Source organism: Homo sapiens, chromosome 10 (genome assembly GCF_000001405.40).
Source record: "Homo sapiens chromosome 10, GRCh38.p14 Primary Assembly".
Classification (NCBI taxonomy): domain Eukaryota; kingdom Metazoa; phylum Chordata; class Mammalia; order Primates; family Hominidae; genus Homo; species Homo sapiens.
In genome coordinates, this window is record NC_000010.11 from 76,887,764 (window position 1) to 76,901,630 (window position 13,867).

The window sequence follows — 13,867 nt, forward strand, 5'->3', positions numbered from 1 at the left end:
CCAAACTTCGCTTCTCGTGGTCTACATGTACCTTTCTATACAAGGTCAAAGTCACTTTCAAGTAGCCCAACCGCAAGAGGTTTCATGAAGTGTGATGCAACTTTCATTTCATAATTTTCGGACAATCCCAGATATACATCACAAGATCTTTGTTTACCATGACAGAGTGTCTCCTTAGACTATTCTCGCTCTTTACCTTTTAAAATCTACTTTGGTGAGAGAATTTGGAATTTGGAATTCACCACATGGAAGAATCTAAGAAACCTGCCTACTTATCAGCACTACTTTGTTGTTCTTCACAATTAGTTGGAGCTTTCTTTGGTCAACAGCAGATGTGACTAAGAAAATCACGCTGTTTCACTTAGAGCAGTGGTCACCAAGTGTGGTCCTTAGGCCACACAGGTCAGCATCACCTAGGAACTAGGAAATGCAAGTTCTTAAGCAATCCCACCCAGACCTACTGAATTGGAAGTGCTGAGGATGGGGTCCAGCAATCTGTGGTTGAACAAGCTCTGCAGGTGAGTCTCATGATGGCTAAATTTTGAGAACCCACTGGTCTATAGCAATTGTTCTCAATTCTGGCTATACACTATAATCCCTGGTTATTATATATAAAATGTTTACATAATTTAAAATATATATATGATGTTTTCTTCCTTCCAGACCAGTTAAGTTAGAGTAATCAGAATATTTTTTAAAAGCTCCCCAGGTGATTCTACTATGCAAGCAGGGATGAGAAACGCTTGTCTCTGCAGCACTGTTGCCTAGGGTATATTATGCAAACTCACTGATCTTGGTAATTCTAGGATGTACTTTTAATTTTTGCCTGCTATGAATTTATTTTAATGCATATGAGAAAAATATAATTGGCACATCTAAACTGTTATTTCTCTGCTTAAGGTGATAATATATAATTGTCTCAAAAATAAATATATAAAAGTTAAAAAGCGAGTCAATTTAAAATATGTGAAGTAAAAATATGGGATTCTGAGATATGGCAGAAGAACCACTTATCTTAGGGCGGGGTGTGGTGGCTCACACCTGTAAGCCCAGCACTTTGGGAGGCCGAGGTGGGTGGATCACTTGAGGTCAGGAGTTCGAGACCAGCCTGGCCAACAAGCCTTCTCTCTACTAAAAACACAAAAATTGGCTGGGTGTGGTGGTGTGTGCCTATAATCCCAGCTACTCAGGAGGCTAAGGCAAGAGAATCACTGGAACCCAGGAGGCAGAGGTTGCAGTGAGCCAAGATTGTGCCACTGCACTCCAGCCTGGGCAACAGAGCAACACTCCATCTCAAAAAACAAACAAACAAAAAACAAAAAAACAAAAAAACTTATCTTAAACACTAGCAATGTAAAATATCTCTATATTAGGTACCAACAGATGTTATCCTAGTAGCTAGAGTTTGGGAGAGATGTTTGTGTATTCAGACTTTTGTAATTAGGTGATGGAATTATTCTATTAATACAAAACTTGAATTCTTACCAAAATGTCTTTACATCTACTATTAGTAATTATAGAAAAATGCTTCCCATCACCTCCAAACTCAGTGTTGGATTTAATATGGGCAGAGTAATTTGCATGTTGAGGAGATGTATACAGACCTTTGCCTTTACAGTAGGGGACAGGAAAGGATATTAATATTTCTGTGATTAGGTGGGAGGGCAGAGTTGAAACCAATACTCACCTCTTTGTGCACTGACTGGGGGTGCTGAGGTGAGCATCTCTCAGCCGGTAAATTCCAAAACAAAGCATATTATATGTTTTCAGAGCTTTGCAGAACAGATCACCATAACAACCACCATCCTGGGAGACAGCAAAAGAACAGAGAGAAACATCCTTTTTATTTGCCTGAAAATCAAGGGACAGCAGGGAAACGGGTCTTTTCATCAAAGCTTGTTTTGGTGTCTCCCAAGTTGGAGGGTCCATGTGCCAAGGGACGGCAGTGGAAGAAGTCAACATGTTTAACAGACTACACCCAATATGTGTGATTTTTAGGGATCAGGTAACAATGGGGTTTTCCTCTGGTGTCTCTCCAGTTTTCCACCTGTCGCAGTGGGGTTTGAAAGCTCTAAGGAGATTATGCTTCTCCCTCACTTTAAGTCAAAGTGTAAAGCTTGATGGTCTCAGATGTATGCTCAGCTGAGGAGATGAACCCTTCTCTGCAAAATGGTGATTATGTTCAGTCCCAGCTCAGCTGTAACCGCTGTGATAGGCTCGTGTTGTCAAAACTGTCTGAGTGATAATGAAAACCACCGCAAGGAGGAGGACCCCACCAGGTCCTATGGTGACAGACTCTTTCAGGAGGTAAGGACCCTGTGAAAAGCACAATTTACAGACCTCAGAGATGGCAAGGGTGCAAGAGAATGTGTTTCCCTAGGAGCCAGGGGTCTGCAGGCTGAATAACTAGGATTCGCAGTTCTGATCAGTTCACAGCCACCTTCCCGGGGTCTGGGGCCTGATGCAGAAAGTGAAAGCAAATGCATCCACTTGGAAATGCTGGCTTCAGCGGCCAGGTGGCTTCAGGTAGATGTTACCTGTATTATATGAAGGGCACTGGGCACTGCGGGATGGCTTCACTGGGTATAAAATGACTGTCTTTGTCCTTCCAATCATTGGAATTCTCATATTGGTCTCATACCAAAGAACACTGATGGGACCAAATCTTACCATTATCTAAAGTCTTTATCCTAATCAAGTGCATCAATAAGTAAATGATAGGTATAAAGAGCCACTAGCTATGAAAATTCCCTTTCAAAAAAAGCCTAGTCTAACATAGGTCCCAGTCCATGATCAAACTAAAATATGGGGAAAGTATGCAGCACTGTTTCAGAAAAAACAGAGACAGACCCTTTCCTTGGCTCCTTTTCCACTATTTAGTCTTTCTGGGCGACACCATTGTTTGTGTAACAGGTTTATCAGTTTCTGTGACTTATGGCTGCATCTCTTAAATGCATCTGTGGGGTTGGGCTGGGAATAAGGGCAAAGACAGCACACTTCTGTCACAGTGCCTACACTAGGCAGATACATGGAATCAGAAGGGAGACGCTGGCCACTTCCGTCACAGGGAGGACATGAGGGAACGTGACTGGGTCCACTCTCAGAAATTACAAGGTCTAGGTTTTGATTTACAGGCATTAAAGGATCCACATAAGATTCGGTTTGTTTGGCCGGTGGTTCTGGATACATCTGACTACTGACTACCCTGGTGCTTTGAAAACCACCAGTGCCTGGGTCCTATTCACATATAAAAACTAAGAAACCTGCAGGCTGAGGCTGGCCACCTCCATGTGCTATTAATGTATAGTTGGGTTGAGTATCCCTAAGCTACGCTAAGAGCCTGTGGAAATATTTCCCAACCTTGGCTGCATGCTGGCATCACCTGCTGCTTCTCACCTTGTGCAGAGGATACGTGAAGAGAACACCAAGGAGGGAGAAAGCCCACTGGCTCTGAAGCCAGGATGCCTTGGTGCAAATTCCCAATAGGTCTAGTGCTCATTCTCTCTGGGCCTCAGTTGACTTAGAAGGTGTGATACTAGAACTTATATCAAAGGGTTGCTATGAAGATTAAAATGAATGACTATGCATAGAGCAAAGTGTCTGATCCAGAGTAAACTATAAATAAATATCACCTCTTACAGTTATCTACAATAGGAAGGAGAAAAGCCAGATGCCTAGCTTGTCACATCTGATACCACGTTCTTCAGGATCAAGCTTTTCCCAAACAGCAAGCTCAGGTGACCTCGGTGCTGTGGACTCACCCCTAAGTCCGCAAATGGCCCATCGAGCAGAGCTAACTGGGCCACGCGGCAGCGGTCCCTATTGGCCAGTGTCTGCGGGGTGCTGTAGCCACCTCTAAGGGCGTTTTCCTCAGCAATCAGAGCCTCCAGCTCCGGCGTGGCTCCTCCGGTCACCAGGGTCCGTATCAGGGTGAGGATATTGTCATTGAAGTACGTCTGGGGAAGGAGAGAAAGTGAGGGAAAAGTCCTTTAAGCAAACACCCTAAAGTCATGACAGCCGACATCCAAATTACAACTTTTCTTGGTATCTCCTGTTTAAAGTTCTGGCCTGTCTCTTCAAATAATTTCATGTGGGGAGTGAAAAGACAGCAGCCTCCAATTATTCCGTTATTTTCTCTCTTGCTTGGCTCTGCTACGACAGCCTGACTTAAAAAACCCAGTTCAGGGGATTTTTTAGTAAAGGGCTCAAATCTGAATAATTAGTGTTTGCCATAATTGGTTTTAGTAGGGATACAAATATTGCCTCCCCCTCCTAAAGTCTACGTGACTACTATGAGATTCTGGACACGTGTAATAAAATGCAGCCTGCCCCAGCTACTAACCCAAGCAGCATTGTCTCTGAGGCCCTGTCATCCATGTGCCAGGAAGCTTCCTCCCCACGACAACGGCAAAACCTTTCATTAATGCCACACGCTTAACGATTTACCACATGCGTTGATAACTGTCTAACTCAGAAATCTCGATCAATTAAATATGCCGGATAAATTTATGAAAAGGTGAATGTCCTGGTAAGTGTACTTTGGCTTTTGTTTTCTAAAATAACCTCAGTAGTCTGAGGCAAATATCACTTATTAAAGAAGTTTCCCTCTAAGTGTACATTTGTGTCACATCTGAAACATAACAGATCTGTCAGGAACAAAAGAATGGGAGTTTAAAAAAAATTAATAGGATGTCAAATAAAGGAGCTTTAAAAGGTATTTGTCACCAGCCTAATTTGAGAAATTCTCAGGTAAGGGTGTGCATTCCATTTTCCTATGTAAGTAGAAATCAAGCAGGCTAAAAAACTCAAATCAAAGTTTGCCTGTGGCTTTTGAGGATGCACTTTGGAAAGAGGTAAGGAAAGATGCAATTGCACCTCAGCAGCTTCTTAGAGAGTTTAGCTGGCAAGGCATAGTAGGGAACAAACCAAGTAAGGGTGAGCTCAAGTTCCCATCCCAGGTTTGCTAACTAGTTCTATGTCTTGGAGGTTGCCTAGTCATTCTGGACTTTGATTTTTCTCGTCTGTAAAATAACAGTGGTCATTAAAACCAAATTTATATTCACATAATTCCATGAGGACTTCTGAATTAAGATGATAGTTACTAGCGGGGCTGGATTCACAATCCTCATTGAAATACTTACAAAAACACCCATTGTGATACAAAATTCCAACTGCAAAAGAATTTAGGAATGTTATCCATAGCCTGCCAGACCCTAAAGGAAATTTATGCTCAGAGTTAAGATATGCCCTTAGGCACAGAAGCAGAAAAAGGATACTTAAAGTAGGATATGTTTCTGGAGAGGTTATGGGATCCAGGGATCCAGAGCTGGGCTGAGGGGTTTAATGCTGACTTCACCTCTCAGAAGCTGTGTGACCTTGGAAAGTTATTTAACATTTTTGTGCCTCCGTTTCATGATCTGTAAAATGTAATAATAGAAGGCTGTGGGGCTCTATGACCTACCCATGAAGCACTTAGAAACATGCTTGGTGCACAGGAAGCACTGATAAACATTTTGGCCTCATATCAGAGACATGAGGCCTTTGCCAAGTAGAGGAACAGTCAGCTCCATTCTCAACTTTCCTTTGAATTTTTAATCTTCTTTGTTTTCTTGGAGGCGTGGGGAACTCAGGGCTTTAAAAACCAAGCAAGGGATTTTAAACTCGATGTGGTAGAAAATGGGAGGTCAGCCAAGCATGGTGCACACCTGTAATCCCAGAACTTTGGTAGGCCAAGGTGGGAGGATCATTTGAGGTCAGGAGTGAGGTCAGGAGTTGGGACCAGGCTGGCCAACGTGGTGAATCCTAGTCTCTACTAAAAATAAAAAAATTAGCTAGGCATGGTGGCGGGCACCTGTAATCCCAGATCCTCGGGAGGCTGAGGCCAGAGAATTACTTGAACCCGGGCGGCAGATGTTGCAGTAATCTGAGATCATGCCACTGCACCCCAGCCTGGGTGACAGAGTGAGATTCTGTCTCAGAAAAATAATGAATAAAATACTTAGAAATAAATATATTGAAGGAGGAACAAGACTGGTATACTGCAAACTACAAAATATTACTGAAAGAAATTAAAGAAGACCTAAATAAATGGACAGACATCCCATGTTCCTGGATTAGAAGACTTGATTTATTAAGATGGAATACTACCTTAATTTCCAGATTTTATGTAATACCTATCAAAATCACAAAGTCCATTTTTTTGTAAAAATGGAAAAATTGACTCTAAAACTGCAACAGACCCAAAATAGCCAAAGCAATCTTATAGCCTTATAAAAGAAAGACGAAGTTGGAAGTTTCATACTTCCCAGTTTCAAAACATACTACAAGACTATAGTAATCAAGATAGTAATGGCATAGGATAGACCTATAGACCAATGGAAAATAATTGAAAATCCAGAAATAAACTCATTCAGTTATGATCTATTAATTTTCAGTGAGTGTGCCAAGACCATTCAATGGAGAAGTTAATATAGTCTTTTAAACAAATGGCATAGCAACAACTGGGTATCCACAGGCAGAAGAATAAAGTGGGACCTATACCTCACACTATATGCAAAAATTAACACAAAAGGGGTCAAAGATCTAAATGTAAAAGCTAAAACTGCAAAATGCTTAGAAGAAAATATAGGAGTAAGTCTTTATGACCTTTGATTTGGCAATAGTTTCTTGGACATGACACAAAAAGCATAAACTACAAGAAGAACAGATTAAATTGGACTTCATAAAAATTTAAAAAATATTTGTTCTTTGAAGGACACTATCCAAAAAGTGAAAAAAACAACCTACAAAATGAGAGAGCATGTTTGCAAATCATATGTCTGATAAGGGTCTAATATTCAGTATTAAAAAGCCTTTTATAACTCAACCAAAAAAGACAACCCAATTTTTTAAACGGGCAGAAGACTTAAACATTTCTCCAAAAAGATATAAAAGTGGTTAATAAACTTATGCAAAGAGGCTCAACAGCTCTAGTCATCAGAGAAATGCAAATCAAAACCACAATGAGATATTTTACACCTACTAGAATAGCTGTAATAAAAAAGACTGATGATAATAACAAGAATTGGTAAGAATAAGGAGAAACTGGAACTCTCACACACTGCTGGTGGGAATGTAAAGTGGTGCAGTTAAGGGAGGAGACCACCCCTCACATTGTGTTATGCCCAATTTCTGCCTCCAAAGAAAGAAAAAGTAAACATTAAAAGGCAGAAATGAAACCCACAAGCAGATAGCCCGGTGCCACACCCTGGGCCTGGTAGTTAAAGACTGACCCGCACTTAATCGGTTATGTTATCTATAGATTACAGACATTGTATAGAAAAGCACTGTGAAAATCCCTATCCTTTTTTGTTCCAATCTAATTACCGGTGCATGCCGCCCCTAGTCACGTACCCCCTGCTTGCTCAATCGATCACAACCCTCTCACACGCACCCCCTTAGAGTTGTGAGCCCTTAAAAGGGACAGGAATTGCTCACTTGGGATACTCGGCTCTTGAGACAGGAGTCTTGCCAATGCCGCTGGCCGAATAAACCTCTTCCTTCTTTAACTCGGTGTCTGAGGAGTTTTGTCTGCAGCTCGTCCTGCTACACAGTCACTTTGGAAAACAGCTAGGCAGTTCCTCATATGTTTGAACATTGTGTTGCTATATGACCCAGAAATTCCACTCTTACAGTATATACCCAAGATAAATAAAAATATATGTCCATATGAAAACGTGTACACAGATGTTTATAGCAGCATTATTGGTAATACCCAAAAGGTGAAAATAACCCAAATTTCCATTAGCTAATGAATGCATGCACAAAATGTATTATATCCGTGCAATGAGTATTATTTGGCCGTAAAAAAGAGTGATGCAATGATACATGCTACAACATGGATGAACCTTGAACACATTGTACTGAGAGTCTATCAGACAAACCACCTCTGATAATTCAATGTACATTCGTTTCTATTTCCTTAAGTGTCGGCCAGTCTGAGAAATAAAGGGAAAGAGTACAAAAGGGAGAAATTTTAAAGCTGGGTGTCTGGGGGAGACATCACATGTCGGCGGGTTCCATGATGCCCCCTGAGCCGCAAAACCAGCAAGTTTTTATTAGCAATTTTCAAAGGGGAGGGAGTGTATGAATAGGGTGTGGGTCACAGAGATCACATGCTTCAAGGGCAACAAAAGGTCACAAGGCAAAAGGTCAGGGCGAGATCACAAGGTCAGGGCAAAACTAGAATTATTAAGGAACTTCCATGTCCTGCTGTGCAGGCGTTGTCATTGATAATCATCTTAACAGGGTTCAAGAGCAGAGAACCGGTCTGACTAGAATTTGCCGGGCTGGAATTTCCTAATCCTAGCAAGCCTGGGGGCGCTGCAGGAGGCCAGGGAGTGTTTCATCCCTTATCTGCAACTCCATAAGGCAGACACCCCCAGAGCAGCCATTTTAGAGGCTCCTCCTGGGAATGCATTCTTTTCCCAGGGTTGTTAATTATTAATATTCCTTACTGGGGAAAGAATTCAGCAATATTTCTCTTACCTGTTTTCAGTAATAAGAGAAACATGGCTCTGTTCCACCCAGCCCACAGGCAGCCAGACTTTAAGGTTATCTCCCTTGTTCCCTGAAAATTGCTGTTATCCTGTTCTTAAGGTGCCCAGATTTCATATTGTTCAAACACACATGCTTTAGAAAAAATTTGTGCAGTTAACGGAATCATCACAGGGTCCTGAGGCGACATACATCCTCAGCTTACAAAGATGATGGGATTAAGAGATTAAAGACAGACATAGGAAATTATTAAGAGTACTGATTGGGGAAGTGATAAATGTCCATGAAATCTTCATAATTTATGTTCTTCTGCCAAGGCTTCAGCCAGTCCCTCCGTTTGGGGTCTCTGACTTCCTGCAACAAGAGTCTATTTATATAAAATATCCAGAAAAGGCATGTCTACAGAAATAATGAGTAGATCAGTGGTGGCTTAGGGTTGGTGGGTTGATGGGTGGAGTTGTAGGGGAGGGTAGGATAACTAAAATACAAAGTTTCTTTTTGATGCCATGAACATGTTCTAAAATTGACTGTAGTGATGGCTGTACATGTCTGTGAATATGCTAAAAAAAAAACCACTGAATCGTACACTTTAAATGGATGAGTTGTATAGTATGTTGTGTCTCATTTTTTTAAAATAAATAGTTAAAAGACAACTAAATTTGCACTGGCCAACTTTTTAATCTAAGGAGCCATGAGTATTAGAGGTGAAAATTACACACACACACACACACACACACACACACACACACAATTAGTGATACGGAAGTAAAACCAGGAAGTTCTAAGCTAAATAGAGAAAGATATAGGGATTTTTGTTTGTTTGTTTAATAAGAGTGCTGGTTGATATTGAGAAAAAGACAACAAAGGTCAAGTGATAAACAGTAAGTATTTACAAATCAAAGTTGTAAACAAAATGCAAGCGTGTAAAACAAGCAAACAAACAAATAAAAATAACCTGTCCTGAGCTGGGAAATGAATCTAGGATGCAGATCAAAAGCATTCAGCAAGTTAATGTGGCCAACTCCTAGACCTGTACTCGGTGAATATTTGAATTCAAAATATTAAATGGAGAATAAAAATGACCTAAAACAATGCTGTAAGAAATACAAGTATAAAATAAGGCTAGGCTGAAGCTTCTCTAGAAAATGTAAGAGGAATGTCAAAGGAATTTTGACAGGACACATTTGTTCCAAAAATTCTACATATAGTTAAATTGCCAATAATTTGTGAAGGCAACTGAAATATTTTTTGACTCTTTGCGTACATAAGCATTTATTGATTTAATTTTTTTAAATACTTAGAAACAAAAATTAGCTTCTTTAAAGATAATTTTAAACCCTTAGTAACTAAAATATGAGCAAATTTGGTTTACTGTTAAAATATATTTAAAACAGAATTGTAAAAGATTATTGTATATATTATTACAAAATGGAATGCAAATGTCAAAACTAATTATTAAAAAAATGACAAAACTAGCTATTAATATAGTATTGCTAAAATTATGTTTTAAAGTTAGAAAAATGAGATGAGATAGAGATGATGATGGAAATAAAGGCATGAAAATTGCCTGATCTTATACAAGGAGGAATCAAGAACTACTAAATTTTTCTAGACAATAATACTTAGAAAATACATCTATAGAATGGCTGGTAACAACTAACTAGAGTTAAAAATAGAATGGAAAGTTTACACTACAGAAAATAAGCATACAAAATATAGTCCACATACCAAAAGATGGATCATAAAACATATAATTATGATAGAAGCATGTAAAAAACATAATGCAAGACTATAGCATCTTATGTTATATAACTAAACATAAATGAGCTAAATGATCCTATAAAATGGCAAAGATTTTCAGACTTGTTCAAATGCCAAAATCAAACTCTGATATCTTTAAAAGAGAAAAAGGGAAGAAAAAAAGTATAGCTTCAAAGAAAAATTTTAAACTATTATGTTAGATAAGTTAATTTTATATTCATAGTTGACACAATAAAGCTATAATTTTTTATGGACAAATATTATAACTGAAATATAGAAAGCAAAACTAATTAGAATTACACTAGAATAAATCTGGACTAAGGGTAATACGTGAAATATTCCCACTATCACTGTTTTTAGCTTTTACAGGCCAAATAGATCAAAAGATAAGAAAATTGAGGATATAATCAGGTTGATTTAGTGTATTTTTACTAAACTTTGTAACAACGATTACAAAAAAAAAAATCAATGGCCAAAACCATCAAATCTCAATACATATAACAAAGTATAAGCTGTATAACCTACATTTTAAAAATTAAATACAATGTAATAGAGGCAAAAGTAAATATTCCAGAACATCAAAAAAATTTTGTTAAGTATCCTATAACTACTAGGTCAAGATGGAAATCAAACTTAGAATATGAAATATTTTAAAATTAAAGAATATTTGAGAATGACATATAAAAATATCATGTCTTGAGGCCAATGCTATAGAGACAAATTCAGAGCCTTTAATGCTATTATTAAATACAACAGAATTATAATAAGTAAAATTAAGTATTAAAAGAATTCTTTTTTTAAAAAAAAGCAGGATGAAAAGTGTCAGTTAATGAATTAGCAAGAGGATATTTAGTGAATTGTTAAATTCAAGAAATAATTCCTTGAAAAAATAAACTTATGACAATATAACTGAAAAAACACAAATAAAATTAGAAATAAGGAGAATAAAATGTCAGATACATAGGAGAATTAACAGTATTATTCCAGATACTCTCTTTAATACCAATCACTGGACGTGAATAAGAATCGCTACTGTTTTTAGGCAAAAAGCAAAGTAGTAATCATCTATGAAGAGACAGAGGAGAGTATTAGGAAAAAAGGAAAATTCCATGTTCCTTAACATGTAAATAGGCCATTTAATGTCATTTTTTCCAGTAAAATTGTTGTTTGACATATGTGTAATTGCAGATTTGAATTGGACTTTTTAAAACTTGATAAAATTATGCTAAATTTCCCCTGGAAAGAGTTGTACAAAATTGTCCTCTCATGTAGTATAGTAAATTTTAAAGGTTTCCTAACCAAATATTGTAGACAATGTGAAAAATTAGAAGATCAACCAGAATGGATTTATGAGAACCATAGCTTAGTAGTTATAAGACCTTAATACAAAAGTTGGCAAATCTGGCTCTTGGGCCAAATCTTGCTCTGCCATCCATTACTTTTTTAAAATAAGGTTTTGTTGGGACCCAGCCATGTCCATTTGTTTATGTATTGTCTGGGGCTGCTTTGGTGCTAACAAACTCAGAGTTAAGTAGTTGTGACAGAGACTATGTGGCCCTCAAAGGCTGAAAATATTTACCATCTGGCTCTTTACAAGACAGTTTGCTGATCCATTCCTTAGTATAACAAGGAAAGCATTGCATACCACAGGGAAGGGATTTTACTCAATGAATGATTTGGGGGAAACTGGCTCTCTGATAAAAATTTTTCAACAATATGGTAATGATTAAACAATGGTTCTTTGACATGACTCATATTGTACAGACATGAATATTGTGCTTTCAGATAATATTTAATGGCATGGTAATAATTATATAATACTAAAATGTTTTTTAAAAGTAGGATCCCCAAAACACCATGAATCACAATTCATGTTAAAAATGCATACCTGCAAAACTATTGGCTAGGGAAATTAACTTTTTCTGTATTTAAAATTTAATTTTAAGAGTACCCACTTTTAAATATTGAATCTTTATGGTACTGGGTTTTAAGTTTTAATATTACTTTTAATTGGCTTTTTCATACTAATGATTCCTTTTAATGTTTTCAATTATCATATGTTTATAAAATGTAGAGATCATTTTTATTATTAAACTTTATAATGTACACTGTTTCATAATATAACAAATCATGCACTTATTACTTTTTGAATTATTTTTTAAATATAAATCTTCAATGTTTAATGGAAAGTTATCAGAAAATGATATCCTGTTTATTATTATGGTCACTCATTTATTTCTACCATAAAGTATTACAAAAAGTACATAATGCTCTGATTTGGGGACTTCCAGAGGGAAAAATAATGCATACCTGAACTGATAGACGTATTTATGTGAAAGTAACTGTAAGTAGTACACAAAATTTCTACTTAGTAGTTAATTCTTGGTTTTAGAATTTGGGGTTTTTTTCCTATAATTTTATTTTATATATTTTCTGCTGTGAAAATACATTTATTTTAAATTTCTGTAAAAAAGAAAGTAAATGTTACTAAATAGTTAAAGGCAAAAAATGTAGCCACAAACAACTTCACAAAAATATAGCAAACTGTTTAATCTCAAGATGCTTGATAGTTCTCATGTTCAGCATGCACTTTTTATGCATAAAAACTGAATTCACTATATAAAATATGTATTTACATCATTATATACAGATTAAAAACTGATATGCTTCAAAACTATCATAAACACAATTAAAGGGCCTCCTAGGAAAAATGACAATCGGCATTTGCCATAATGTATGAGATGGCTCAGTATGACGAGAGTGTGGATTGGTAAAATTGTTTCTTGGAGATATCATGACAATATGTATCAAGAAATTTTAAAATGTCCCTATTTGTTAAAAAAAAAAAAAACCCAGTACATTTGCCTCAATATAATAAGTTGCTACTTGTTCAAAGATTTATGTACAATAATTTTTATTACAGGATTAATCATTGCTATAACAAAAATTTTTTAAAGCTAAATAGCCAAAAATTTAGTGATAAATCGATTCTGGAACATCCACAGACTGGAGTCTCATAAAGTCCTATGGAGGCTCTGCAAATCATGACACCTAAGGAAATAATAAAATACTCTGGATAAAATATTAACTGAAAAGGGAAAAAATAACCAACCTATAAAATGAGATAATTCTGTATTTATCCATCCATTTAGAAGGAAAGACACCAAAATATTAACCATGCTTATCCTTGGTGTTGGAAACATAGGCCATTTATATTTTCTTCTTTATATGTTTTCTTTTTATTTTTATATGTTTCTTCTTTATATGTCTTCTTTTATATGTTTCTGTGCTTTCCAAATTTTCATCAAGAAGTATGAATAACTGTTCTAATAAAAACACAGTCAATTTTTTTTAAACAAAGGGCACTATAGGTTATCCATTGCAATGATAAATCTAGAAGGTCAGGCTGGGAGGTTATTGTTTTGTCAAATCTTTGGGATTTGACCCTAACATGTTCCCACTTCTGTGTTGAAATCAGTTATACCCAAATCTTTTTGATCAGTCACTGACATTTATTGAGCACCTACTAATCGTTGGGCCTTGGTTTAGCCTGAAATTGTGTGAAAGTCAA

General features: G+C 37.0%; 1 protein-coding gene and 1 long non-coding RNA gene across 54 annotated transcripts in view; one reads left to right on the plus strand and one right to left on the minus strand.

Annotated features, from left to right (window-relative positions):
* The window catches only part of KCNMA1 (potassium calcium-activated channel subfamily M alpha 1), a 768,207-nt gene that overhangs the window by 18,162 nt on the left and 736,178 nt on the right, over window positions 1-13,867 (minus strand). For all 53 annotated transcript variants that reach the window (NM_001271518.2, XM_017016222.3, XM_024447990.2 and 50 more), the window contains 2 exons: window positions 3,762-3,956; window positions 1,688-1,806 (listed from right to left, as the gene is read on the minus strand). In NM_001271518.2, coding sequence (NP_001258447.1) covers window positions 1,688-1,806; window positions 3,762-3,956 — 314 coding nt within the window. The remainder of the gene's footprint in view (window positions 1-1,687; window positions 1,807-3,761; window positions 3,957-13,867) is intronic.
* Window positions 281-13,867, plus strand: part of KCNMA1-AS1 (KCNMA1 antisense RNA 1) — a 90,550-nt gene continuing 76,963 nt past the window's right edge. Inside the window, exon 1 of the long non-coding RNA NR_120655.1 lies at window positions 281-518. This is a non-coding gene — a long non-coding RNA (KCNMA1 antisense RNA 1). The remainder of the gene's footprint in view (window positions 519-13,867) is intronic.